Below are 27813 nucleotides of genomic sequence, written 5' to 3'. Positions count from 1 at the left end.
TTTTTTGGAAATGCTAAGGTGAAATGAGAATTCTAGGAAAGGAAGTCAGGCTATCCTTGGTAATTGAGCGCCCTGCAATTAGAGAGAGTCCTCATCGCACAAGCATTAACGTTTCCAGCAAATATCCAGTCAGTCGAATAACATCCAGCGAGCGCCTGCCTGCCCCGGGACCGGCCAGGCTTCTGTACTCGCCATAGCTGGCACCAAACCCAGCCGGTACCGACGGGGAGTCATGGCCAACTCTCCTCTGATCCGGGGTGTTCGGACTTCCAGGAGCCCAAAGCTCCTCGGTGAACGACGGTGTTCGTAGGGGATTCCAGGCACGGAATCGCTTCCGCTGATTTGTGTCTTAGGTGGAGGGAGCGAAAAATTATGTGGAAAAGTCTCCTCTGTGTCCCTTCGTTGTGACATTAAGTCTTTTAGGCTCAGAATCTGGTTTGAGTTTTGGCCGACACAAGGGCTTCCCGCGTTGCTCTAAATTTAGTCAACTTAGCAAGTTTTCTTTTTCTCCCTCTTACATTTTGACCTTAATATCTCAATAACAGTGTTTTCCTAAGACCTGAGAGTGATTTTGTCTACCCTGCTTAGAGAATCTTAATCTAATTTTCTAAAGAAGAAAGAGAGGTAGAGGAAGAGGAGAAAAGGGAGAGTGGGCAGAGGAGGAGAAGAGAACGATGACAGAGGGGTCTATTGTGACATCTGAACGGAGGAGAGGAGAGGGGTGAAGAGAAGAGTGAAGGCAGGGTAAGGGGGAGTGAAGAAATATTGCTTTGCTATGGAAATATTAATAAAACCAACTATAAGAAATCCCATGGTTTAACGAAAGGGAGTCTGCTCTGAGGGGAGTATTAAGCTGAGTTTGGAGTAAGAGAACCAGATTCCGTATTTAACTGAGGAGTCTGTTATTTAAACTTTCTTGTTAAAATGAGTATCAGTCACATAAACCTCCTTTAAAAATCGTGTCAAGTTATGAAATGACTAAATACAAATTTAAAGGAAAATATAAGTTGTGATAGAAGGTGTTTCCATAGTCATATCATATGCCTTTTATTTGGTCTACACATTTTAACAAGCATATAACATTTTAATTAGATTCCTTCAGAACTCTAGTTTGAAGGGAGTTAAATACTGAAGAAATAACAGACTTTTCATGCTTAAAAAAATCATTAAAAAAGGAAACTTGCTTTGATTAATATTAATATGAACTGAATTTATTGAATCAATTCTTGTTTTGCTTAGAATAAAATGAACAGAGACTTGTGATAGCTTCAATCGTTTTTTTTTTTTTTCTCCTCATTCATATGTGTGGACCAAAGCATGGCAGAATAGATTCAGGTAAAACAAATGAATCAGGGTTCACTTGTAGGAAACAAAACTATTCTAGACATTTTAGTCCCAAACTGAAAACAGTCCAAAGTCCATCAACAATAGAAAAGATAGTTGTTTTTCATACAAAGGAACAGTAGAGCAATAAGAACAAAGAATTTTCAATTACACACAAATTGGAAGAATCTCACAAACATAATATTGAAGTGATGCCATACACAAAGGCATACATGCTTTTGTTTATATGTACTGTAGCTCAAAACAAACTAAACAAATCTGTGGTGTTAGAAATCAGGAAGGTGATTGTTGAAGGTAATTACACTGAGAAAGGCCATGAAGAGACTTGTTGGAGATCGTGGGGATGGTTCTATTTCTCAGTCTGAGTTCTGGGTTCATAGGTGTGTTCACTTTGTGAAATTTCTTGAGCTGTATAATTATGATACAGATACCTTTCTGTATCAATATTGTGTTATATGTCAATTAAAAATGTACTTAGGCAAGGTGTGGTGGCTCACATATGTAAATGCAGCACTTTGGGAGGCCGAGGTGGGAGGATCACTTGAGGCCAGGCATCCAAGACCAACCTGGGCAACAGCCTGGGCAACGAAGCAAGACCCTTATCTCTACCAAAAAAAAAAAATTAATTAATTAAATTAATTGATTTATTTATTTTATTTTTGAGATGGGGTCTCACTCTGTTGCCCAGGCTGGAGTGCAGTGGCACAATCTCCGCCTCCTAGGTTCAAAGGATTCTTCTGCCTCAGCCCTATGAGTAACTGGGATTACAGGCACACGCCACCACGCCCAGCTAATTTTTGTATTTTTAGTAGAGATGAGGTTTCGCCATGTTGGCCAGGCTGGCCTTGAATTCCTGACCTCAGGTGATCCACCTGCCTCAGCCTCCCAAAGTGCTGAGATTATATGCATGAGCCACTGTGCCCGGCCAAACTAAATAATAAAAAAACTGTACCTAAGAATCAAAACCTCTCAAACTATTTTAAATAAAACGGGATTAATAAAGAATATAGAGGCTTACAAAATTTTTAGAAGAGAGGGATGGAGGAAGGTATCAGTTCTAATTTGATTCTGCAGGAATTGTTCCCAAAATAACCTCGAAGAAATAGTCTCCATCGAGGCTGTTGTTGTTCCCACAATCAAGAAAGTAGGAACTCAAGATGCTTTCACTAGAATTGTTCATTTCAGGTAAGTCTGTCAGTGATTTGTGCCCAGGTCTTAATTTATAAAGATGATGGAGTGAAGACAGAGAGGTCAATGCCATTGAAAGAAAATTATAATGTTATTCACAGTTTCCCTAGAAACGAGAAGTGCAGCACACCATGCAGGGCCACACTGGGAAGTACCAGTGTCACCCAGGAGGCAGAAAGGAGTGAAAAGGAAGGCATAAATTAAAGTCTTTGTTGGGGTTTCCATGGGAAAGGCAGGGCAGATCAGGGTAAACAGTTTAGAATTGGCTAGTTTGAATAATTCTGGCAGGCTTTGGATATAGAGGCTGTCCCTGGTTGTCTGATATTTGGCCCTTAGTTGACTTACCCCAGGGGAAATATTGGCTTAGTGTGTGAGTTAGATAAAGGAGGTCATTCAAAGTATGGGCTCTGGATAGCAGGAGAAGTAAATAACTTTGGCTATAGTTTGGCCCCTCTGATCAACGATGCCAAATGGATCAATGGATGCCAAATAGACAAATACAGGCTCAAAGAAAACACAGAGCAGTCAGAAAGCAATTTACATTTCTAAACAAGTTGCCAAATTCTGTTGCTGCTGGTCTGGGAACCATACTTTGAGAATCACATTTTGCAGAGCACAGCATGCCTCCCAGATGTGAATGAGCAAACTGATGCTCCTTATGTTGTGTTCCTCTGCAGAAAACCTCGAGTCCATGACAATGCTTGTGAACATAAAAAAACAGAAACAGAAGGCTCCTTATTTCCATATTTGAAAATCCTGAGGCAAAGCTTAAATCACACCCAGAACCCTAACTGCAAGAGTTGGAGAAATGTTGTTCTCTCTAGCCTCTGGTCTAGGAAGGCTCACTTGAAGGAGATGGAGATGGTTACTACCAATCTACTATACCCTGTACAGATGTTGAAGCTGAAATGTTTTGCCAAAATAGAGGGCCTTCCCAGAGGATTAAAAGTAATGTCAGTATTGCACTGAGGAGGAACTTTCACTGTCCTTGAAAGAGGACCCAGTGTAACAGACTGGTGTATTAGTCCATTTTCACATGTTCCAGGGCAGGAAGCATCCAGCATGGGAGAAAGATGTGGGCTGATGGGCTAGGCCCATCTCGTCCCTTCAAGTTTTTCTGCCTGCTTTATATTCGCTGGTGGATAATTAGATGGTGCCCACCCAATTAACGGTGGGTCTGCCTTCCCCAGCCCAGTGACTCAAATGTTAATCTCCTTTGGCAACACCCTGACAGACACACCCAGGATCAATATTGCATCCTTCAATCCAATCAAATCGACACTCAGTATTAACCATCACACTAGACATGAATCCTTTGTCATAAATATGTATTACAAATATCTTCTTCTATTCTGTGCTTTGCCTTTTTACATTGTTGATGGTGTCTTTGGATGACTGAAGTTCTGAAGTCTAAAAGAAAGTCAGTTTATCAATCTGTTTCTTTTATAGTTATTGCTTTTTGTGCTTATTAAACAGGAAGTATTTGCCAACCCAAAGTTCATGAAGATAGTTCATTGTTTTCCTTTATAACTTTTATTGTTTTAACTTGGACATTTGGATTTTTAATCTATCTTGAATTTTTTTAGGGAATAATTTAAGGAAGACGTCAGTGCCCACATTGTCTTCCTTTGTATATCCTGTTGATTCAGCACCACCTTTGGAAAAATCTCTCTTTCCCTGATTGAATTGCATTGTATGTGGTTTTACATAGGTAGATCCATTTTGTTTCATTGGTCTCTATCTTTATGTCAGTAACACTCTTTCTTAATCAGTGTATCTTCAGAATAAAATAAATCTCATTATGTGGTAGTGAAAGTCCTTCAGATTTGCTCTTCTTCTGAAAGATTTCCTTGGTGATTCTAGGTCCTTTCCAGTTGCACATGTGTTGTAGAAACAACTTGTCAATTCTACCAAAAGTCCTGTTTCAATATTTTATTTCAATTACATTGAATCTGAGCCTTTCAATCAATGAATACGTTATATCCCTTCACTTATTTTGATATTTAAAAACTTCTGTGCACAGTGATTTGTAGCTATTAATGTACCACTCACATATTTTTATTACATTTATTATTGTATTTATTATTAGGTTATTGATAGTGTTCTTGATATTGTAAATCACAGTTTTAAAATGTATTGTCTATTTTTTCAAAGTATATATGAATACAACATATATTTGAATATTGGTTTTTGTACCCAGCAAACTTATTTTCACTTAATGATTCTAATGATTTGTAGATTTTAGAGATTTTTCAAATACATAAATACATTATCTGCCAATGATGGCAGTCCTATTTCTTCATTTCAATTTTAATATCTTTTAATATTTTGTCTTATGTAATGGCCTAAGATGCCCAATACAATGTTGAATAGCAGTGGTGATAGTGGTCATGCTTGTCTTGGTCCCAATATCTGGGAGAAAGTGTTAAATATTTACTATAATTAGGATATTAAATGTAGGATTTTGTATATATGCATTCTGGGATTAAGAAATTTCCTTTCTATACATAGATTGCTTTTTTTTTTTTAACCAACGTGGTGTTGAATTTTGTCAAATACTTTTACTGCATCTACTGATATGATTATTTGGTTTTTTCTCTTATACTTTGTGGTAAATTTAAAGTGATTGATTTTTTATATTAAAAAATTTGTGTTACTGAAACACACATTACAGCTTAACATTTGACTGTTCTTTCTGCATATTACTGGGTCTGATTGCTCTTACAGTCTTTAGTGGTTTTATATCTAGAATGTTTAACACAAAGATTGACTTGTAATTTCTTCTTTAGTAATTCCTTGTCAGGTTTTAGTATGAAGATTATGCTGGCCCTATAAAAAGAATTGTGAAGAGTTTTCATTTTTTCTATTTTCCGAAAGAGTATGTGTATATTAGATCTTCCTTAACGTTTTAAGATTTCAGCAATGAAGCCATTTTTGCATAGTGTTTGCCTGCTTTGTCTGAAGGTGTTATAGGCTGAATTGTGTCCCCTCAAAATTTACCTGTTGAAGTCCTAACCCCCAGTACCTCAGAATATGACCGTATGTGGAGATGGAACCTTTAAAGAAGTGATTGAGTTTAAATGAGACCATTAAGGTGGGCCCTAATCTGATCTGACTGGTGAAAAATAAAGATAATTTAAGTCAAACAAAAGTTGAGGCAATATCTCATTAACAGATGTGTATTACAAGACATAATAAAGGTTTTGTTTGTTTTTTGTTTTTGTTTTTTTTTTGAGACAGGGTCTTGCTCTGTCACCCAGGCTGGAGTGCAGTGGCATGATCTCGGCTCACTGCAGCCTCTGTCTCCCGGGTTCAAGTGATTCTCCTGCCTCACCCCCCTGAATAGCTGGGATTACAGGGGCCCGCCACCATGCCCAGCTAACTTTTGTATGTTTAGTAGAGACAGGGTTTCACTATGTTGTCCAGGCTGGTCTCGAACTCCTGACCTCAGATGATCCGCCCGCCTCAGCCTCCCAAGGTGCTGGGATTACAGGTGTGATCTACCACGCCCAGCCAACAAAGGGTTTTCTCGAGGCTAAAGTAAAACGAAAAATCTGAAAGTTGGAATTAATAAAAGAATTGGCATGGTAGCTGGTTTCATGATCAAGATACAAAAATTCAAATGTATTTGTATATTAAAAACAAACAAGTGAAAATTAAAAATTAAAAGTTTGGCTGGGCGCGGTGGCACATGCCTGTAATCTCAGCATTTTGGAGGCCAAGGTGGGCAGATCACCTGAGGTCAGGTGTTCGAGACCAGCCTGGTCAACATGGTGAAACCCCATCTCTACTAAAAATACAAAATATTAGCTGGGCCTGGTGGTGTGCGCCTGTAGTCCCAGCTACTCGGGAGGCTGAGGCAGGAGAACAGCTTGAACCCGGGAGGCAGAGGTTGCAGTGAGCCAAGATCACACCACTGCACTCTAGCCTGTCAACAGAGGGAGACTCAAAAAAAAAAAAAAAAAAAAAAGTGAAAGAGTTGCATACAGTGATTGGAATAAATGCTTAGGCTGGGCACAGTGGCACATGCCTTTAATCCCAGCACTTTGGGAAGCTGAGGCGGGGAGATCATTTGAGGTCAGGAGTTCGAGACCAGCCTGGCTAACATTGTGAAACCCTGTCTCTACTAAAAATACAAAACTTAGCTGGGCGTGGTGGTATATGCCTGTAATCCCAGTTACTCGGGAGGCTGAGGCAGGAGAATTGCTTGAACCTGGGAGGCAGAGGTTGCAGTGAGCCAAGATCGTGGCACTGCACTCCAGCCTGGGCAACAGAGCGAGATTCCATCTCAAAAAAAAAGAAAAAAAAAAAAGAAAGAAAAGAAAAGAAAAGAAAATTAGCTGGGTATGGTGGCACACACCTGTAGTCCCACCTACTCAGGAGGCTGAGGCAGGAGGATCTGTTGAACCTGGGAGTGGGAGGGTGCAGTGAGCCGAAATTGTGCCACTGTGCTCCAGCCTGGGCGACAAAGTGAGAACCTGTCTGAAAAAAACTAAAAACACAAAATAAAATAAAATAAAACAAAAATAAGTAAATTAAAATTAAAAGTTCCAGTTTCAATATCATAAAAATTGTCAACTGCCTAGGGGCAAATCTTAAAATGATGTGCTTATGGCTACGTTAAACATTTTATGTATAAATAAAAATTAATTCAGGAGAACAAGAATAATATAAATATTTCTCAACCTAAAAAGAGGCAAGAGAGAATCAGAGAAGAACATATTGCTGAAATTAAAAGGATAGCAAGATGGTACACTTAAACTCAACTAAATATGTTTTGAATATACACAGACTAAATATTTCAATTAAAAAATAGATTGGGCCGGGCACGGTGGCTCACGCCTATAATTCCAACACTTTGGGAGGCCGAGGTGGGCAGATCACGAGGTCAGGAGTTCGAGACCAGCCTGGCCAACATGGTGAAACCCTGTCTGTATACTAAAAATACAAAAATTAGCTGGGCGTGGTGGTGGGCACCTGTAATCCCAGCTACTGGGGAGGCTGAGGGAGGAGAATTGTTTGAATCCAAGAGGCAGAGGTTTCAGTGAGCCAAGATCACACCATTGCACTCCAGCTTTAGCGACAGGGTGGGACTCTATCTCAAAAACAAACAAAACAGATTGGGCCTGGTGCAGTGGTTCCTGCCTGTAATCCCAGCACTTCGGGAGGCTGAGGCGGGTGGATCTTGTGAGCCCAGAAGTTAGAGACCAGCCTAGGCTATACAGGATATTAATCTAGATATTAATTATTTGATGGCTTCAGATATAGATATAGATATAAATATAGATATTGTAAATGCCATTTCCATTCCTTGGCTGTGTTTTCACTCTTTTAATGCTGTCTTTTGCAGCCAATAAATCCCTTATTTAAAATAAGCCCAATGCATCTTATTTTATGATTTATGTTCCTAATGTACTGTTTGAGAAATCTTTGCCTAGCCCAAGATCATGAAGATGTTCTACTGTGTTTTCTTCTAGAAATTTTATCTTTTTTTCTATCACATTGATGTCTATTATATAATAAAATAATTTTGTTTATAATGTGACATAGGGGTCAAGGTTTATTTTTACTCTATGTGATTAAAAAGATCATTCTTACTTGACTGAATTGACCTACGTATTTTGTAAATTGGCAGCATAAGTTTTCAAGCTTAGTTAATCTTCTACAATATTGACATGATTTTTCAAATTCCTTTGCATTTACAAAAATATACTTAATTTCCACAAAAATACATGCTGGTATTTTGATTGGGATTTCATTGAATCTATTGATCAATTTAGGAAAAATTAATATCCTAACAATATTAAATCTTCCTAATTATAAACCTGATACATCACTTCATTCATTTAAGTCTTCTTTAATTTATCCCAGTAATGTTTTTTAGTTTTTATTATAGTTTTTTTGCACATTTTTTTTACATTTATTAATGCTGTTGTAAATGGAACTTTTTGTTGTTGTTTTGTGAAACAGTATCTCACTTTGTCACCCACGCTGGAGTGTAGTGGCATGGTCATGGCTTACTGCACCCTTGACCTTCCAGGTTCAAGCGATCCTCTTACCTCAGCCTCCCAAGTAGCTGAGACCACAAATGTGCACCACCACGCCTGGCTAATTTTTTTAAACAATGTTTTTGTAGAGATAGGCTCTCACTATATTGTCTAGTCTCAAACTCCTGGGCTCAAGAGACTTTCCTGCCTCTGCCTCCCAAAGTGCTGGGATTACAGGTGGGAGCCACTGCACTCATCCTCAAAAATTGACTTTTTAAAATTTCATTTTTCATTTGTTTGTTGCTAGTATACGTGAGCATATTTGATATTTTGTATGTTGACCATGAAGTCAGTACCATGCTAAATTTACTTACTAATTCCAATCATTTTTTAGATTCTTCTCAGTTTTGTACACTCATAATCAAGTTCTAATAATGAAGGCTGTATTTCCCAATATTAATATCAATCATTTATTTTTCTTATTTTACTGCAGTAGCTACTATTGCCACCATAGTATTGAATAGAAGTGATAATCGTGGGCATTCTTGTCATGTTCCCAAACTCAGGTTCATCGTAGGTGTTTTGTAGTTAAGATTTATTAGACTAAAGAAATTCCCCTTTATTCTCATTTTGAGAGTTTTTAATCATGAATTATTGAATTTTATCAAATGCTTAGTCTATGTCTACTAAGATGAAAATTTGGTTTTTATATTTATTCTATTAATGTGGCAAATTACATTTTAAAAAGTTAAACCCCTCTCCCTCTCCCTCTCCCTCTCCCTCACCCCACGGTCTCCCTCTCATGCGGAGCCGAAGCTGGACTGTACTGCTGCCATCTCGGCTCACTGCAACCTCCCTGCCTGATTCTCCTGCCTCAGTCTGCCGAATGCCTGCAATTGCAGGCACGCGCCGCCACGCCTGACTGGTTTTGGTGGAGACGGGGTTTCGCTGTGTTGGCCGGGCCGGTCTCCAGCCCCTAACCGCGAGTGATCCGCCAACCTCGGCCTCCCAAGGTGCCGGGATTGCAGACGGAGTCTCGTTCACTCAGTGCTCAATGGTGCCCAGGCTGGAGTGCAGTGGCGTGATCTCGGCTCACTACAACCTACACCTCCCAGCCGCCTGCCTTGGCCTCCCAAAGTGCCGAGATTGCAGCCTCTGCCCGGCCGCCACCCCGTCTGGGAAGTGAGGAGTGTCTCTGCCTGGCCGCCCATCGTCTGGGATGTGAGGAGCCCCTCTGCCTGGCTGCCCAGTCTGGAAAGTGAGGAACGTCTCCGCCCGGCCGCCATCCCATCTAGGAAGTGAGGAGCGCCTCTTCCCAGCCGCCATCACATCTAGGAAGTGAGGAGCGTCTCTGCCCGGCCGCCCATCGTCTGAGATGTGGGGAGCGCCTCTGCCCCGCCGCCCCATCTGGGATGTGAGGAGCGCCTCTGCCCGGCCGAGACCCCGTCTGGGAGGTGAGGAGCGTCTCTGCCCGGCCGCCCCGTCTGAGAAGTGAGGAGACCCTCTGCCTGGCAACCACCCCGTCTGAAAAGTGAGGAGCCCCTCCGCCCGGCAGCCACCCCATCTGGGAAGTGAGGAGCGTCTCCGCCCGGCAGCCACCCCGTCCGGGAGGGAGGTGGGGGGGGGTCAGCCCCCCGCCCGTCCAGCCGCCCCATCCGGGAGGGAGGTGGGGGGTCAGCCCCCCGCCCGGCCAGCCGCCCCGTCCGGGAGGTGAGGGGCGCCTCGGCCCGGCCGCCCCTACTGGGAAGTGAGGAGCCCCTCAGCCCGGCCAGCCACCCCGTCTGGGAGGGAGATGGGGGGGTCAGCCCCCCCACCCGGCCAGCCGCCCCGTCCGGGAGGGAGGTGGGGGGGTCAGCCCTCCGCCCAGCCAGCCGCCCCGTCTGGGAGGTGAGGGGCGCCTCTGCCCGGCCGCCCCTACTGGGAAGTGAGGAGCCCCTCTGCCCGGCCAGCCGCCCCGTCCGGGAGGGAGGTGGGGGGGTCAGCCCTCCGCCCGGCCAGCCGCCCTGTCCGGGAGGGAGGTGGGGGGGTCAGCCCTCCGCCCGGCCAGCCGCCCCGTCTGGGAGGTGAGGGGCGCCTCTGCCCGGCCGCTCCTACTGGGAAGTGAGGAGCCCCTCTGCCCGGCCAGCCGCCCCGTCCGGGAGGGAGGTGGGGGGGTCGGCCCCCCGCCCGGCCAGCCGCCCCGTCCGGGAGGGAGGTGGGGGTGTCAGCCCCCGCCCGGCCAGCCGCCCCGTCCGGGAGGGAGGTGGGGGGGTCAGCCCCCCGCCCAGCCAGCCGCCCCGTCCGGGAGGGAGGTGGCGGGGGTCAGTCCCCCTGCCCGGCCAGCCGCCCCGTCCGGGAGGTGAGGGGCACCTCTGCCCGGCCGCCCCTACTGGGAAGTGAGGAGCCCCTCTGCCCGGCCAGCCGCCCCGTCCGGGAGGGAGGTGGGGGGGGTCAGCCCCCCGCCCGGCCAGCCGCCCCCTCCGGGAGGGAGGTGGGGGGGGTCAGCCCCCCTGCCCGGCCAGCCGCCCCGTCCGGGAGGTGAGGGGCGCCTCTGCCCGGCCGCCCCTACTGGGAAGTGAGTAGCCCCTCTGCCCGGCCACCACCCCGTCTGGGAGGTGTGCCCAACAGCTCATTGAGAACGGGCCAGGATGACAATGGCGGCTTTGTGGAATAGAAAGGCGGGAAAGGTGGGGAAAAGATTGAGAAATCGGATGGTTGCCGTGTCTGTGTAGAAAGAAGTAGACATGGGAGACTTTTCATTTTGTTCTGCACTAAGAAAAATTCCTCTGCCTTGGGATCTTGTTGATCTGTGACCTTACCCTCAACCCTGTGCTCTCTGAAACATGTGCTGTGTCCACTCAGGATTAAATGGATTAAGGGCGGTGCAAGATGTGCTTTGTTAAACAGATGCTTGAAGGCAGCATGCTCGTTAAGAGTCATCACCAATCCCTAATCTCAAGTAATCAGGGACACAAACACTGCGGAAGGCCGCAGGGTCCTCTGCCTAGGAAAACCAGAGACCTTTGTTCACTTGTTTATCTGCTGACCTTCCCTCCACTATTGTCCCATGACCCTGCCAAATCCCCCTCTGTGAGAAACACCCAAGAATTATCAATAAAAAAATAAATTTAAAAAAAAAAAAAGTTAAACCAAATTTCCATTTCTAGAGTAAATCTGATTTGAATATAATGTTTTGACTTTTAAAATAATATGCTTTATTTACTTTGCTAATATTTTGGTAAAAAGTTTTGAGTCTATGTTTAAAAGAAATATTGGCTTGTAATATTCTGTTCTTGTACTCTCTTTCTGGGTTTTGGTATCAGAATTATGTCTGTGTAGTTAAATTAGCTGAACAATGTTTTCTCTTTTTCAGTTCTCTGAATAGCTTTCTGAAAGACTGATATTATTTATCTCTTACTTGTATGTGGGAATTCACAAGTGAATCTACCTACGCCTGGAAGTGTATATGAGTGGCTCTTTAAATTATGGATTTAATTTTTCCAATAAGTATAGGGCAATAAAGATTTCCTATTGCTTTTGGTGTCAGTTGTGGCATATTGTTTGTCTTTTTTTCTTTCTTTCTTTCTTTTTTTTTTTTTTTTGAGACGGAGTCTCACTCTGTGGCCCAGGCTTGAGTGCAGTGGCGCGATCTTGGCTCACTGCAACCTCCGCCTCCCGGGTTCAAGCAATTCTTGTGCCTCAGCCTCCAGAGTAGCTGGGATCACAGGCATGTGCCACCACGCCTGGCTAATTTTTGTATTTTTAGTAGAGAAAGGGTTTCACCATGTTGGCCAGGCTGGTCTCAAACTCCTGACCTCAGGTGATCCACCTGCCTCGGTCTCCCAAAGTGCTAGGATTACAGGCGTGATCCACTGCACCCGGCCATATTGTGTTTTTCAAGGAATATATCTATTTCATCAAATGTTTCACATATATTGACATAAACACATTTATAATACCTCTTTCTTGTTTTTAAAATATCTTTAGGGTGTATATATGTGTGCATGTATATATATATATATATATATATATATATACACATACACACACACACATACATATAATCTGTTTCATTCCCAATGCTAGTATTCATGTGTTATCTTACCCTCTTTTTAAAATCAGTCTTATTCAGGGTACATTCGTTTTATCAATCTTTTCAAAGAACCAAACTTTTACTTTGTTGATTTTCTGTGATGTATGTTTGCTTTCCATTTTATTGATTTCTGCACTTATTTTTAATAGCTCCTTGTACTTTTTGCATTTAAATTGCTGGCTTTTTATAGTCTCTTGAGTTAGATCATGGATTTTCAATCTTTCTATTGTTGTAATACATGTAGTTAAAAGTAAAAATTGTTCTCTATAAACAGCTTTAGATGCATTAGACAAATTATGATACGTCTTATTTTCATTATCTTTCAGCTTAAAACATTTAAAAATTTATATTGTGTTTTCTTCTTTGACCTGTAGAGTGTAGGACACAAACTGCTTTATTTCCAAACATTCAGAGTCTTCTGGTAGTTTTTCCCGGATACAACAAAGACTGAAGCTTTGTTACAATTTGTCTAGTTTAGTTTTTCCTTGCTGTGAAGGCATAGCCTTACTCCTTTTATGTGGTCCTTACTTTAAAGGTTTATCACTTAGTGCTAAGGGTTAGTATTTCTGAAGTCTCAAAACAACAGCCATTTTACCAATGGGGCTCCAACTGGGAGAGGCATGAACATCAACCTCTGTCTCCCTAGAACCATGCAGCTACTGGATCTCTACAGATCATTAGCCTTCCAGTTGCTCTTTCCTGTACTGGAACATCTTCCTGTGTAGGTACAACTTAGGAATTAGCCAGTAATATAAGGAGAATTTATAATACAAATTTGAGATCTTTCTCTGTGGTTCCCTCATCACTTGAATTTTGACCATCAAGTTCTATGCACGTTGGTAGCCCCAAACTCTGACCAGTATCTCCTTAGTCCAGCACAACTGCCTCTTTCCACATGAGGTCTATTCCACAATGGTGCAATACGGGACACACCTTCAGGAGGAAAGCACTTTCAAATGTGCAAACTCATATAATGTGCTTCCCTTCTCTCAAGGATTGTAGTTTGTCAAGCCTTGCCTGGGTTGACAGCTTATCAGTGCCTTCAAACAGTTGCTTTAAGTCGGGCTTGGTGGCTCACACCTGTAATCCCAGCATTTTGGGAGGCTGAGGCAGGTAGATCACGAGGTCAGGAGTTCAAGACCAGCCTGGCCAACGTGGTGAAACCCTGTCTCTACTCAAAATACACGCCTGCAATCCCAGCTACTCGGGAGGCTGAGCCAGGAGAATGGCTCGAACTCAGGAGGCAGAGGTTGTGGTGAGCCAAGATTGCGCCATTGCACAGCAGCTTGGGCGATAGAGCGAGACTCTGTCTCAAAAAAAAAAAAAAGCCAGAAACAAACAAACAAACAAAACAATTGCTTTATAGTTCTTATCCACGATGAATCATTTTTCTTCTAGATTAAAAAAGAAATAATAGATTAAAAGGAAGTAATAGAGACAAACGAGATTCAATGTTAGGTGAAAAGGATGAGGCATCAATCACTCTACTGTTCAATAGTGTTAACGAAAAAAAGAATCCATTGGCTGAAAGTGTTGCACAATAATATTAACTTTTAAATTTGATGGCCAAAATTTCATGACAAAAATGTTAATAATAATTATTTTTCTTTTTTTTTTTTTTGGAGACAGAGTCTTGCTCTGTCGCCCAGGCTGGAGTGCAATGCTGCAATCTTGGTTCACTGCAACCTCCGCCTCCCGGGTTCAAGTGATTCTCCTGCCTCAGCCTCCGAGTAGCTGGGATTACAGGTGCCCGCCACCACACCCAGCTAATTTTTGTATTTTTAGTAGAGATGGGGTTTCAGCAGGTTGGCCAGGCTGGTATCGAACTCCAGACCTCAGGTGATCCACCCGCCTCAGCCTCCCAAAGTGCTTGGATTAGAGGCATGAGCCACCTCGCCTGGCCAATAAGTATTTTTAAAACAAAATCAGACATATTGTTATATGCTGGAAGAGTATTCTTTCATTAAAGAAGCAATGCTGTTGGCTTTGATTATGGCTCACAAAAATATTGCTTTTAATATTCATCCATTCAGCGTTGGTCGAGGGTATATACTAGGTACACTTCTAATTCCTACCTTATTATAAAGGAGCTTAGAATGATTTGGATTTCGCCATACCTTTCCATTTTATATTGTCGTTGCTGTTTTGAAATTTAGTACCATTTGTTTTCATATTCCAACATGTAATCATTACGAAACAATGTTGTTTCAGGCATTCACTCTTTATGTAGCTTTTGTCACATGTTATGAATTTTCTTGCTCACTTATAACATTTTGAATCCCACTCCTTCATCAGTTCTAAATTCCTATTCATTAATGTAGTCGTCACTCTTGTCATATGCATTGTTCAAAATTGTATATTTGCCCTTTTACATTTTAATTCGTATATTTTCATTTATAGTTTTATTAGGCTTTTCTCCTTTTAACTTTCCATTCTGAAATTATTTTAGACTGACAGACACAGTACATGAATAATACAGATAATTCCTGAGCACCCTTCACCCCAATTCCCTCAATATTAGCACATTAAGGATATTCCTATATTTTCTTTTCCTTCTCTCTCTCATATATATACATAAATGTATATTTCTGAACTATTTGACAGTGAGTTTGAAGACACATACCTCCCCTTACCCTTAAATACGTATTTTGTAAATAGGTGTGAATTTTCTTAAAGACATTTTGTTCTATAACCATAGAACAATTAATACAATCAGGAATTCACATTCATAATATTATAAAATCTATAGACTTTATTGAGATTTCACCAACTATTTCAATAATGTCCTTTAAGATAAAAATTCCAGACCATATGTTGCTGTCATATCTTTAAGATCTTCTATAATGTGGACTATTTAGTCAGCCTTTCTTTGTGTTCTGTAACTTTGTTATTTTATTTATTTGTTTATTTATTTATTTATTTATTTATTTATTTTTCCTCCCTGCTTGCCTGTTACTAGGTTGATGCAAAAGTAATTGCAGTTTTTGAGGCGTACAAGTCAGTTATTTTGTTAAAATCTCCCTCAATATGGGTTTGTCTGATGTTTTCTGATTTAGATTACATATTTTTGCCAAGAATACCACAAAAGTGACGTTGTGCTCTCATGAGCACATCCTGTAAAAAAGGTATATAATGTAGATTCGTCCCAATACTGATTCAATCACTTGGGTAAGATGGTATCTACCCGGTTTCTCCACTGTGATGGAGATTACAGTGCAGAGTGGAAATTTTCTTGCTATTACAGAACCTCATGATTTCTACAGCTTATGGTTTTTGCGATCAGTATTTCGTTGGTTTGAAAGAACTCTGCTAAAGAAAAAGAGAACCCAACATTTGCCCAGAAGACTAGAGACTGTGTTTACCGGAAGTGTGCTTTTCTAAAAAAAAGTTTAAGCCTCCTCCCCGTCGGGGAATCGAACCCCGGTCTCCCGCGTGACAGGCGGGGATACTCACCACTATACTAACGAGGAATTGACGTGAAAATGGAGCTCTTAGGAAATCCCTGTGAAGTTACTCGCTATTGTCCATCTTTCTTTGCTCTGTAGTCACACGTTTCCCCTACCAAATATACGCAAGGCAATTCAGCGAACGTGTCTCCGCCCAACCGCGAATCCTCTCCAGTTCCTCCTTCATTCCTCGGACGCTTTGTCAGACCCTTTTAAAAAAGAACTCTCGCTAGCCTCCTTTGTGACGCACTGGTTTCCGTCTATGTTCAACCATGGTTGGAGCCCTAGCTAACATAGGAGTTACAAATCCCGAAAGGTGCATCGGTTGGTTTCAAAGACAGGAAAAGCAGAGGTGGGACCAATACCTGCGCTCCGTTGAGGTAAAATAGATAAAGAGTCTGCAGATGTATTTTTAAAGTTCAGGATGCGTCAAGTGGCACGCAGAAGCTTTATCACGAGTTCCCTCGCCCCCAAACTGAAAGCAAATATGACATCGTATTTCCTCTCTGAAGTAAATACGATTCCTCTCTGTTCTCAGTAAAACATCCCGAAGTCGGCAAAAGTTCAGGCTGCGTTAAGTGGCACGCAGAAGCTCTATTACGAGTTCCTTTACTCCCAAACTGAAAGCAAATATGACATCGTATTTCCTCTCTGAACTGTTCTCAGTAAAACATCCCGAAGTCGGCAAAAGTTCAGGCTATGTTAGGTGACACGCAGAGGCTCTATCACGAGTTTCTTTACTCCCAAACTGAAAGCAAATGTGAGATCCTATTTCCTCGCTGAACTGTTCTCAGTAAAACATCCCGTAGTCGGCAGGATTCGAACCTGCGCGGGGAGACCCCAATGGATTTCTAGTCCATCGCCTTAACCACTCGGCCACGACTACACGAATGGAGAAGGCTCCCTTCACATCTTTAAACAGAATTTACACCAGCTAACTGACAAGAAACGGTCAAAAGAACAAAATACGGTAAAAATGGTTTCCTGGGCAAGAAACTGGAGTCTGCGAGTTCATTAGAAACTCTAACGTGAAGTGCAAGTTGGATAAGACAAGCCAACCTCTCTGGGGCAGCCGCAAGGAGTCCTTGCCCTATCAGCAGTACCGTTTCCAGAAAACTAGAGACCACTGTACCTCTCTCACCTGGACCCAAACTGACCCCGCAAGGAAGTGGAATCAGACCCTCACCGTAAATCTGGGCCTGACACATTTAGTTTTTGTTTGAAACTTCCTCTCATTGAGGCTCCTTGATGAATGCTAATGGCTTTCAAGAAGGGACTAACTTTTGATTTGTGTCTGAACTGGAGGGCCAGAAAATGATGCAGAAAAGCCTACTTGCACTTTCTTGCTCTGATGAGGTCCCTAAGTCTCTAGGCTCACACCAACCCAAGGGAGTATATCTACCCGGTCTCGTTTGCACGGCATTTTGCATTTCACAATGCGCTTCCACGCTTCAGTTGGGTTAAGAAAGAAATTTATAGATTGTTCATGAGTTCCCATGGAACCAGGTTACCTATCAAAAGGAAGATCCTACTTTGATTTTTGGCCAAGGCAGACGCTCCTTCTCTCAAAATCTAACCCACGCAGTATGTTTTCTTTTCCTCTTATGCTTCCGTCTTGAAGTCTAAAGCTGCCGGTCCTGGAGTTTCCCTGAGCCCTTTGGATGCACAGATTATTGTAATTGGCTTTCATCTACTTCTTGGAACCATATACTAATCTAAGAAAAGAGGGAAACAATCGCAAGCTAAGAAATCATGTCGACTAAGTAGATAAATGAGGAAGAGGGACAAGAAGGAAGAGGAAAAGAAGAAAGTGACCAGAAAGGAGAAGAGAGAAAGGAAGGAGGGACAGGAGGTAGAAAGAAGAGGATGAAGGAGAAAGAAGAGGAGGAAGAGGAAGAGGAGAAACGAAGGAAGACCGGGAAGGGAAGAGACAGAGATTTTCTGAGGACCCTTGTTAGAGCTCAGAAAATGATACCCCAAAGTATGGCTCTTGGAAGTGCTGAGTACTTTGAACTAAAGAAGCAACCTCAGAATCAAAGTCTCTCTGACCTTCCGCAGCCCCACTGCCTCCTGATCCTCTTTCTTTCTTGAATGGCAGGGAGGGGCTTTCACTGAAGTTTCCCTTATTTGACTTACGGAGGTTCCTCCAGAAGGAAAGAGATTGTCATGAACCCTCTCCTGGAATCTGTATTAACCAGAGAAGATTAACTCAGATCCCAGGAGAGAAAACTAAAGGTCTCCATGCCCGGGACATCTCGCCCAGCCAGACTTCAATTCTTTTCTTCACCACCTATTCTGAGGGCTGCTACTTGAGAGACTTTATCTGTATAATAAGACAAGCTTTGTTCCCAGAGCTGTTCCTGCCCTGACCCTCACATTGCTTCTCGCCACCACCTTCCAGGAGCCTTCAAGCTCCTATTTCTTTATGTAGCTCCAAGTCCTATTTAAGCTTCAACCATCTGCCCCTTCTTTGAGTCTCACTTACACTTTCTGGGACCTCTGTGCATATGTGCATAATAAATGTGTATGCCTTTTCTTCTGTTAATCTGTCTACTAGCAGCTTTATTTCTCAGACTCAAATATCCAACCTCCAGAAGGGAGAAAAAAGATTCTCTCACCCCTACAGGCTCAAAAGAAGACTAAAAGAAATTCACTAGTTTTATGGAAGACCATAATTTGAGGGAATAGACATGAAGCAGTTTGATGGGGTAGCCAGGTGTCCATACAAATATAAGTTGTGCTATAGATTGTTGTTCATAGTTAATGCATATCACATCCTTTTTATTTGGTGGACATATTTTTATCAAGCACATCTTTATTTTTTTTTGCTGAAATCATTTGCAACTCCAGCTTTGAATAAAGTTAGATACCAAAGAAATATCAAATCTCTTTTAAGAAATTTAAAAAAATTTTAGAATCAGGGTCTTACTCTATCACACAGACTGGAGTGCAGTGGCACCATCATAGCTTACTGTAACCTGAACTCTTGGGCACAAGCCATCCTTCTGCCTCAGCCTCCAGAGTAGCTAGGAATAGAAGCATGCACCACCACTCCTAGCTAACTTTTTTTTCTTTGTAGAAAAAAAATGTATTTTCTTTGTATTCCTTGTATTTGAAGAAAAACTGACAATTTGCCTTTTTAAGTATAGAAGGACATTTGATTTGTTTCCAATTTAGGGCTAAAGTAGAAACTGGACTGGTTTTTGTTTCCTGCAACTAAGTCCTGACTCTCTACCTTTACTGAGATCCATTCTACTATGTTTTTGTTTTCAGCCCAGTAAAACAAGTAAGATTGCAGCTGTGGCCAGTCCCTAGTCATTGTTACAGTAAAACAAGCCAAAGTTGATTAGTAATTTCAGTTCAAATATATCACTAGTTGCTTTGTATTTTGCTGAGGTGTTTTTTTAAGCACAAAAGGTTTCTGAGGGCTGGGTTCAGTGGCTTATGGACTGTAACCCCAGCATTTAGGAAGGCCGAGGTGGGAGGATTGCTTGAGGTCAGGAGTTGGAGGCCACTTTGTGCAACATATAGAGAAGTCACTGAAGACAAAAATTATATCTTTCTGTGTCCTCAACATGTATTGAAAGCCTCATTTGTATAAGGTATGGCTAAAAGTTTTCCAAATCATGAGTGCTGGTTCCTTTGTGCTGAATAGTTCCTTCCTCAGTTTATTTCTTTCCTCATGCATTTCACCATAAGCAGCAATAACTAACCAGGTTGCACATTCCACATTTTACTTGGAAGTCTTCTTAACTAAATATTCAAGTTCATCATGTACAAATTCTGTTTTCCACCCAAATATAGAATACAATTCAGCCAAGGCTCTCCCACTTTATAACAAGATAACCATTCCTTCAGTTTCTAATTGCATGTCATTAATTTCCTTCTGAGACCTTACCATAAGCATATTTAACATTCTTATATTTTAAATTTAATAGAACATTTTGGGAACAGTTTTAGGTTTATAGAAAAATTGAGCAGAAAGTAGAGTTTCAGTATACTCCTTCCTTCTCCCCTCCTCCCCCAGTTTCTCTATTATTAACATCTTGCACTAGTGTGGTACATCTGTTAAAATTGATGAGCCAATGTTGATAAATTATTATTAACTAAAGACCATAGTTTATATTACGGTTCACTCTTTGTGCTGTATATTCTATGGGTTTTAACAAATGTATAACAACATGTATTCGCCATTACAATATCATACAGAATAGTTTCACTGCCTTAAAAATCCACTGAACGTCACTTATTCTTCCCTCTTAAAATCCACTGAACGTCACTTATTCTTCCCTCTTAAAATCCACTGAATGTCACTTATTCTTCCCTTTTTCCCTCCCCCTAAGCCCCTGGCAACCACCAATCTTTGCTGTTTCCATAGATTAGCCTTTTCAGGAATGTTATGTAGATGGAATTATACAGTATATAGCCTTTTCCAGATTGACTTCTTTCACTCACCAATACGCACTTAATATTCTTCTGTTCTTCCTTTTTGGTAGCTTGATAGCTCATTTCTTTTCCTTACTGAATGTTCCATTGTCTGAATGTACCATAGTTTATGTATTCATTCATGTACTGAAGGACATCTGGCTGCTTCCAAGTTTTGCCTATCATGAACAAAGCTGCTATAAACATTCTTGGGCACGTTTTGTGTGGACATACATTTTCAACTCCTTTGCATAAATACCAAGGAACACAATTACTAGATCATATGGTAAGAGTATGTTTAGTTTTGTAAGAAATTGTCAAACTGTCCTCCAACGTAACTCTAATATTTTGCATTCCCACCAGCAATGAATGAAAGTTCCTGTGCTCCACATCCTTGTCAGCATTTGGTATTGTCAGGGTTCTGGATTTTGGCCATTTTGACAGGTGTATAGTGGCATCCCATTGTTTTAATTTGCATTTCACTGAGGACATATGTGGAGCATCTTTTCATATGCTTATTTTCCATCTGCATATCTTCTTTGGTGACATCTGTTAGGGTCTTTGGCCTATTTTTTTAATCGGTTTGTCTCCTTATTGTTGAGTTTTAAGAGTTCTTATATATTTTGGATATCAGTTCTTTATCAGATATGTACTTTGCAAGTATTTTCTCCCAGTCTGTGACTTGTCTTTTCATTCTCTTGAACATTTTTTTTTAAACCAATGTTCTCTTCATGGCAATATATGCATTCTCTAAGATGACCGAAGCTTTCTCTATCATGTTCCCTTGACTGTAATTGTTTTTCATACACTCTGTTAGGATTTCCAGGTTTAATGTTTGTCAGCCAACAGTCTGAGAGACTTGACCTTGGCCCCTTATCCAAATGCTGGGGATGCACGCCAGCATAATAAAATGCAAGTGCCATGTCTTAAATATAAAAACCTACCGATTTGTTGGATTCTTTTTTTCTGCCAAGGACACAGTGACAGACTGGCCATGGGCTACACTTGCAGCTATGTGCTCGCTGACACAGGCATATAAAATGCTTTACTAAGTGGCAAAACATGGGAATATTATCTCCGGGTTTCCTTAAGCATTAGAAAAACATGTTGGGGCCGGGCGCAGTGGCTCACGCCTGCAATCCCAGCACTTTGGGAGGCCGAGGCGGGCGGATCACTTGAGGTCAGGAGTTCGAGACCAGCCTGGCCAACATGGTGACCCCCTCGTCTCTACTAAAAATACAAAAATTAGCCGGGGATGGTGGTGCATGCCTGTAATCCCAGCTACTCGGGAGGCTGAGGCAGGAGAATCGCTTGAACCCGGGAGGTGGAGGTTGCAGCGAGCCGAGATCGCGCCATTGCACTCCAGCCTGAGCAACAGAGCTAGATTCCGTCTCAAAAAAAAAAAAAAAAAAAAAAAAGTTGGTCGCCACTCATTTGAGAGTCGTGAAAACAATTTTAATGGGTAACTACCAGTATTTTCAAAACGACAAAAGAGTAGAACAGAAAATAGAAGGTAGAACATGTAATAAAGGTAACGATTGTTTGCGTTTTAAAACTGTGTGTAGACGTGTATTTCTTTTTTTTCTTTTCTTTCTTTCTTTTTTTTTTTTTTGTTGTTTTGTTTTTTTGAGACGGAGTCTCGCTCTGCCGCCCAGGCTGGAGTGCAGTGGCGCGATCTCGGCTGACTGCAACCTCTTCCTCCCGGGTTCAAGCGATTCTTCTGCCTCTGCCTCCTGAGTAGCTACAGGCGCGCGCCACCACGCCCGGCTAATTTTTGTATTTTTAGTAGAGACGGGGTGTCACCATATTGGCCAGGCTGAGTCTCGAACTCCTGACCTAGTGATCCACCCACCTCGGCCTCCCAAAGTGCTCAGATTACAGACGTGAGCCACTGCGCTCGGTCAGTAGACGTGCATTTCTTATAATCAGTTCAGTCAGACAAGTTTACAATGCACACGCATACCTGAAACAGGAGCAAAAGACTGGCGGCGAAAATGTGCGGCCCATCGCAGGGCGAAAGTACACGTTAGCTAAAGCCTCTGGGAAATGAAGTTCAGGAACACCTTCGCGGAGTGTTCTGGGAACGCTGGTCCAGTGTGCCCGCCCGGCGCCGGCGTGCGGGGCGGGGCTCGCTCGTAACGACCGGAAGTGACCGTTGAAGCCGGTTGTAGGCGTGGAAAGAGGTTGGCGCGCTGGAAGTCCAGTTGCTTCGGCTCCCTGCGTTAGGTCTGGTGGCGGTCAATGCGCTTCCGGACCCGGGATCAGAGTGTGTGGATCGCTATAGGGGGAGGGGAGCTCAGGTATCACCATGGCAACAGCCAGCCCTCCGGACTCGTGACGTCACCCTTCTGATTTCGCGCTTAGAGGCCTCTGCAGGAGAAAGCTGGGGAGTCCTCGAAGGGGGCGCACCTCGCCTCCTTCTGTGCGGGGCGGTCCCGCCCTGATCCCTTGGAGGGCTTTGTTCTTTTGTTCTGGCCTAAGGGGAAGTCGGGTGCCGGGCCCCGCCCTGTTTGTCCACCTTCCAGCTTTAACGCTCTGCAACAGGTGTGTCTTCGTGTTATCCGAGCTCGCAGGGGTGTGAGTCACAAGTGTGCACAGAGGGAACACACCAGGTCTGTGGATGCCCCGGCCAGATTCTAGGGTGGGCACCAAGGGTTTTTTGGATCTGAAGCAGAACCCGCGTACCCGATCTCCACTCTGTTTTGTTCATCGGAGTGCCACACACCTCTCTAGTGCTCTCTTGGGGCACTTCTCTTGTGTAGCACCTCTTGGTCACTTTGCAAGACTCTGATGTGTGATTGTGTGACGTATGCTGCTGACGCCATCCTGTGTCTTTTAGGGTAGACAACCTCAGCGTGTTGCAGATTCCCTGCAAGGGGAGTTAGACATCTGAGTCCTAGACCGAGATACCAGCTGAAGGAACGCTGCCTGGCGAACCCTGGTGTTCAAGTTCCAGAGGAACGGGATGAGCTCCTGAGATGGAAGGTAGTGGGGTCGACTTGGGGGAGAGCGGGGTGATGGAGGCTTGAGAACAGTCATGACTGGAGTATCAAATACTTGAGATCAGAGCAGGAGATTTGGAAGGAAGGAACGGTATGCTTAGGGATTAGCAAAGAAACCGAATTACATTGTAGGGAGAGATTCTGTTTTATAGAGAGATACTTGGGAGAGGAGTTTATTTTTTTCTTTCGTTCCATTGGGGAATGAAAAGACATAATCATTCAGAATATCTGTGATCCCCACATGACTTCTGAATATTAAATATTAAAATTATAATCTTGAAGTCAGAAGACATCTTGGCAATTATCCCTTCAATGAAAGAGTCAGTTTTGAAATCTCCTTGGCAGACGGCTGTCTGTCAACCCTATGCCCGAACTAGTGTGGCATTAAACTCGCCATTTTGGGTGCAGACTATTCCCTTGTTGGCTTTCTTTTTTAGTTTCTTATATTAAACAGATGTACTTGTCCCTGTAACTTTTGTGTTGATCTTAGTTCTTAGTCCTCCAAAGAAAAGGAAACTGTCTGTTCTTTCTTTCACACTGCTGCCCTTAAGATATGTGAATTCAGCTGTTACAACTCCTCCTCATAAATTCTTTTCTAAGCAATATAGCCTCACTTCTTTTGATTGGTCTATGTGATGTATCTAGACCTTTCTCTGAAAACTCTCCTGCTTGTCAGCATTTTTCTTAAAATGCAGTGCCTAATGGTAAACATAGCTCTTTGGATGTGCTTTGAAAAGTACCTGAGAGGATAATGTACTACTTCCTTTGACTCGGATTATACTTCCGCTGTTTGGCATTAGATCACATTTGCTTTAAAAACTATCAGTGATGTACTGTAAACTTTAGATCTTTTTTACATAAACTGCAGTGATCTAGATTTACACCATTTTTGTGTAATGGAATTATTATTATCCTTAATGTCATGACTTACATTTATGACTGTTCAATTTTTTGGTCACATGTTTTAGGCTTTCAGAATGATTATGAATCCTAATTTAGTTATTCAGTGCCTTAACTGTCCTTTCTAACTTAATGCCACTAGCGGATTTGATGAATATTCCTTCTATTTCTTCCTACCTGTCATTGAACAGATCAGGGTAAGGATAGAGGCTTATGACATGTCCCTATGGAGTTCTCTCTGCATTGGTGTTGTCTTTACATTCTTTAGGTATGGCTGTGCAATCAAGTTTGGTTTGACCTAACTATTATCATGCAGTCCTTTTTTTGCCTTTGTTAAAGATAATATCATTAGAAGTCTTAACATTATTCATATTAGTCATGTGAATAATGTAGGTTTGGTCCATACTTTTCTTCAATTTTTTGTACTTCAAGTCTTTTTTACAGTGGATTTTTTTATATATATATTCTAAGTTTCTCAGAATTAAATCAGCCAAAGTAGTTTCATTAAAAGCCTTTGTATTTTCTTTATTTTGTGGATTTCTCACAATTTTATCATTAGGATTAACTTTACTGAGCCTCTGTTCCTTGTAATCATAACTTTTGTAGCACATACTGAGCATTTACTATGTGCCAAGCACACAGTTGGTTTCTGTAACTGTTGCTGTTTTTGGTTCTGTTGGTTGCTGTTATTTGGAATAAAAAGCATCTTACCTGAGACATTTCTCTTGATTCTGTTTTCCTAAAGTCTTAGGTACCTGTCTGTGCATTTAGAACATTTTCTTTCACTGTTAAGAGCTTCCAAGATAATATCTTCATTTTTTTCTTAAGACTTCTGTTACAAAACAGTTTTTCTTTACTGGTCAAGATCAAGTTGAGCATAATAGTTCCCTTTATTGCTTCCTCTACTTTCTGAGGCATGACACCATTAATATAAATTAAGAATTTCTTGATTAATACATTTTTTACAAAATGAAACTTACATACTTAGCCAAACAGTTGAAACTGCTTTTCTCCATATTATTCATCACCCCCACCTGCCTAAGCTGTCTATGGCACACTGTTGCCAGCATGGTGCTACTTTTGTTTTTTTTTTTCTTTCTTTCTTTCGATTTATCTACAATTTCTATCAGGTTTCACACTCAGGATTATTGCATCACATACAATAATCCATCTCTTAGTCTGTCTGTTTATATCAGATCATTTTGCGTAAATTTTACCCAGCTCTCTTTTAAACAAGGCTTGGTCATAAAACCCACACTAGGCCAGTTAGCTGTCTCTGGAATTTGAATCTTGGAACTAAAATTAGATGGCACTGACCTACCCTAATGGTGGTATCCCAAAGAGATTGCCCTTGCACCTTAGTGGTGCAATTTAGATTCCCTTGGGTTCTGTCCATTTGATTGTTTAGCTTTTCTTTTTATTCTTCATGTTCCCCACTGTCTTTATATTTAGTCCCTTAGTTGATTTTTTTTTATAGTTTTAAGGTCTTATGTCTTCCAACCCAACAAGCCTTGGTTAATGCCTAAAATATTGAGTTTCCCTTCTTTTTTTCAGGTGTACATTCACTTGGCTTATTGCCACTATCTCACACATCTATGTGTGGTCATAAATATCCATCTTGACCCTTACCTGTTTGATTGTTTTTTCTTAGTTTTTACCAAGCATCTCTTACAGCATTGCTAGTCTATTTCATACCTCATGTCTCATTCAAATTTTTTTTTTTTGTTTTTGAGACACTGTCTTGCTCTGTCGCCCAGGCTGGAGTGCAGTGGCATAATTTCGGCTCACTGCAACCTCCCTCTCCCGGGTTCAAGCAGTTCTCCTGCCTCAGCCTTCTGAGTAGCTGGGATTACAGGCACACGCCACCACGCCTGGTTAATTTTTGTATTTTTAGTAGAGATGGGGTTTCACCATGTTGGTCAGGCTGGTCTCTAACTCCTGACCTTGTGATCCGCCCGCCTCAGCCTCCCAAAGTGCTGGGATTACAGGCATGAGCCACTCTGCCCAGCCAGTCTCATTCATATTTTGTATCCAGAGACATCTTCCCTCACTAGTCTTTCTGCATACATTAAATTTCTAAGAGGAGAAAATTCTTCTTGTCTTACTTCTTTGTGGAAACAGGTGTGCCTAGTTTGGTTTTCCTCACCACTATCTCCTCTTCAAGAGGATTTTGAAAGGTATGTTTGTCAGACATTCGCCTCTAGTCTTTTAAAGATGAGGAAATTGAAGCCTAAAGAAGACAAGGGACTTGCATAATTATACATAATTAATTACCAGACGAGTCATTTTGAGAATCAGGCTTTCCTGTCAACCAGTACTCTAAGTGGATTCCCCCAAGAGCAAAGCTTTTTTTTGTTTTGTTTATTAAGGTATAAGTTATATACAGTAAAGTGCACAAATACTGTACAATATATAGCTTTTCAAATTTTCATGTATGTATAAACTAGTATAACCAAGATATGGAATGTTTCTAATGCCCCAGAAGTATCTTGTGCCTCTGCCCAGTCAGTTATCCCTCCAGAAGTACTATTCTAACTTTCATTACTGTAGATCAGTTTGGTTGGTTTTTAAAGTTAATATAAATATAGTCATACAGTATGCATTATTTTGTTTTGCTTGTTTTGCTCAACATTATGTTTAAGAGATGCATCCATGTTGTTAATTATGTTAGTAGCTCTTTCTTATATTTTGGAATAATCCATTGTATGAAAATACCATGGTTGTTTATGCTGTGTTCTGTTGAAAGGCATTTGGGTTGTTTCTAGTTCTGAGATATTATGAATAAATCTGCAGTGAAGATCCTTGTAGAAGTCTTTGGTGGATATAAGCATTTCTATGGATGTAAGGACAGGAGTGGAATTGCTGAGTCATAGGATAGTCATATGTTTAGCTTAGTATAAACTACCAGTTTTCATAAGTGGTTGATAAATTTATACCATATACCAATCTAAAAAGTTCTAATTGCTTTATATTCTTGCCAGCAATTAGTATTGACCATGTCTGTTTAATTTAAGACATTCTGTTGGGTGGGTAGAGTAAGTAGCATATGTCATTGTGATATTTAATTTGCATTAATAGCAAAGTTTTCAAAGGGCCTATGAAGGCTTTTGGAAAGTAATCGGATTACTTCTTCATATTTTATATGTAGCAGAGAAAGGCCAGCAGAAATAGTTTGCCTCATTTAATGAGGAACATAGATTGAGTCATATAATACATATGACTTCTAAGTGTCTAGGTACAAAACTGAATCATAAAGCAATGCTTTACCTCCTGAGCCTACTGAGGAGGGTACCAGGGCCCCAGTTATCTTGTAACTTTTTTTGCATTCTAAAATATAAAGGAAATGGCATAGTTTCTGTTATTTTCAAATAGAAGAGTAAATGGAATTTATGGATTGCTGGGAATGGCTAAATTGAACAGAAGTCATATGGCTCCTGCTTCTCCCCCTA

General features: G+C 41.7%; 1 protein-coding gene, 1 long non-coding RNA gene and 2 other non-coding genes across 10 annotated transcripts in view, besides 5 other annotated features; 1 reads left to right on the top strand and 3 right to left on the bottom strand.

The window, feature by feature from the left end:
• Positions 15949-16008: a silencer, noted in NCBI's record as "silent region_17025". NCBI's record gives its function as "represses an Ori minimal core promoter by ATAC-STARR-seq in GM12878 lymphoblastoid cells {active_cell/tissue: GM12878}" and the evidence as "EXISTENCE:reporter gene assay evidence [ECO:0000049][PMID:35858748]".
• Positions 15990-16061, bottom strand: TRD-GTC2-6 (tRNA-Asp (anticodon GTC) 2-6). The gene has a single exon. It is a non-coding gene; the product is annotated as a tRNA-Asp (tRNA).
• On the bottom strand, positions 16842-16923 carry TRS-AGA2-2 (tRNA-Ser (anticodon AGA) 2-2). Its single transcript has one exon. It is a non-coding gene; the product is annotated as a tRNA-Ser (tRNA).
• Positions 19755-22611, bottom strand: LOC105375001 (uncharacterized). The gene is made up of 2 exons (XR_926664.4): positions 22426-22611; positions 19755-20641 (listed from the first exon to the last, which is right to left on the bottom strand). It is a non-coding gene; the product is annotated as an uncharacterized LOC105375001 (long non-coding RNA).
• Positions 22619-22778: an enhancer, noted in NCBI's record as "active region_24286". NCBI's record gives its function as "activates an Ori minimal core promoter by ATAC-STARR-seq in GM12878 lymphoblastoid cells {active_cell/tissue: GM12878}" and the evidence as "EXISTENCE:reporter gene assay evidence [ECO:0000049][PMID:35858748]".
• The window catches only part of ZNF184 (zinc finger protein 184), a 69100-nt gene continuing 63916 nt past the window's right edge, over positions 22630-27813 (top strand). For 4 of the 7 annotated variants that reach the window (NR_144688.2, NR_144687.2, NM_007149.3 and 1 more), the window contains exons 1-2: positions 22630-22762; positions 23302-23447. Coding sequence is in view for 3 of the 7 variants with exons in the window: in NM_007149.3 (NP_009080.2) it covers positions 23441-23447 (7 nt within the window). In the remaining 4 variants the exon portion in view is untranslated. Of the gene's footprint in view, positions 23075-23301; positions 23448-27813 lie in introns of all 7 variants that reach the window. The other 3 variants (NM_001318891.2, NM_001318893.2, NM_001318892.2) reach the window with 2 other exon arrangements.
• Positions 22839-22938: an enhancer, noted in NCBI's record as "active region_24285". NCBI's record gives its function as "activates an Ori minimal core promoter by ATAC-STARR-seq in GM12878 lymphoblastoid cells {active_cell/tissue: GM12878}" and the evidence as "EXISTENCE:reporter gene assay evidence [ECO:0000049][PMID:35858748]".
• Positions 22959-23048: an enhancer, noted in NCBI's record as "active region_24284". NCBI's record gives its function as "activates an Ori minimal core promoter by ATAC-STARR-seq in GM12878 lymphoblastoid cells {active_cell/tissue: GM12878}" and the evidence as "EXISTENCE:reporter gene assay evidence [ECO:0000049][PMID:35858748]".
• Positions 23379-23508: an enhancer, noted in NCBI's record as "active region_24283". NCBI's record gives its function as "activates an Ori minimal core promoter by ATAC-STARR-seq in GM12878 lymphoblastoid cells {active_cell/tissue: GM12878}" and the evidence as "EXISTENCE:reporter gene assay evidence [ECO:0000049][PMID:35858748]".

The sequence above is a fragment of the Homo sapiens genome, chromosome 6 (genome assembly GCF_000001405.40).
Source record: "Homo sapiens chromosome 6, GRCh38.p14 Primary Assembly".
Lineage (NCBI taxonomy): Eukaryota > Metazoa > Chordata > Mammalia > Primates > Hominidae > Homo > Homo sapiens.
Note: the sequence above shows the minus strand (reverse complement) of the source record. Positions and strands in the feature narration are given on the sequence as shown.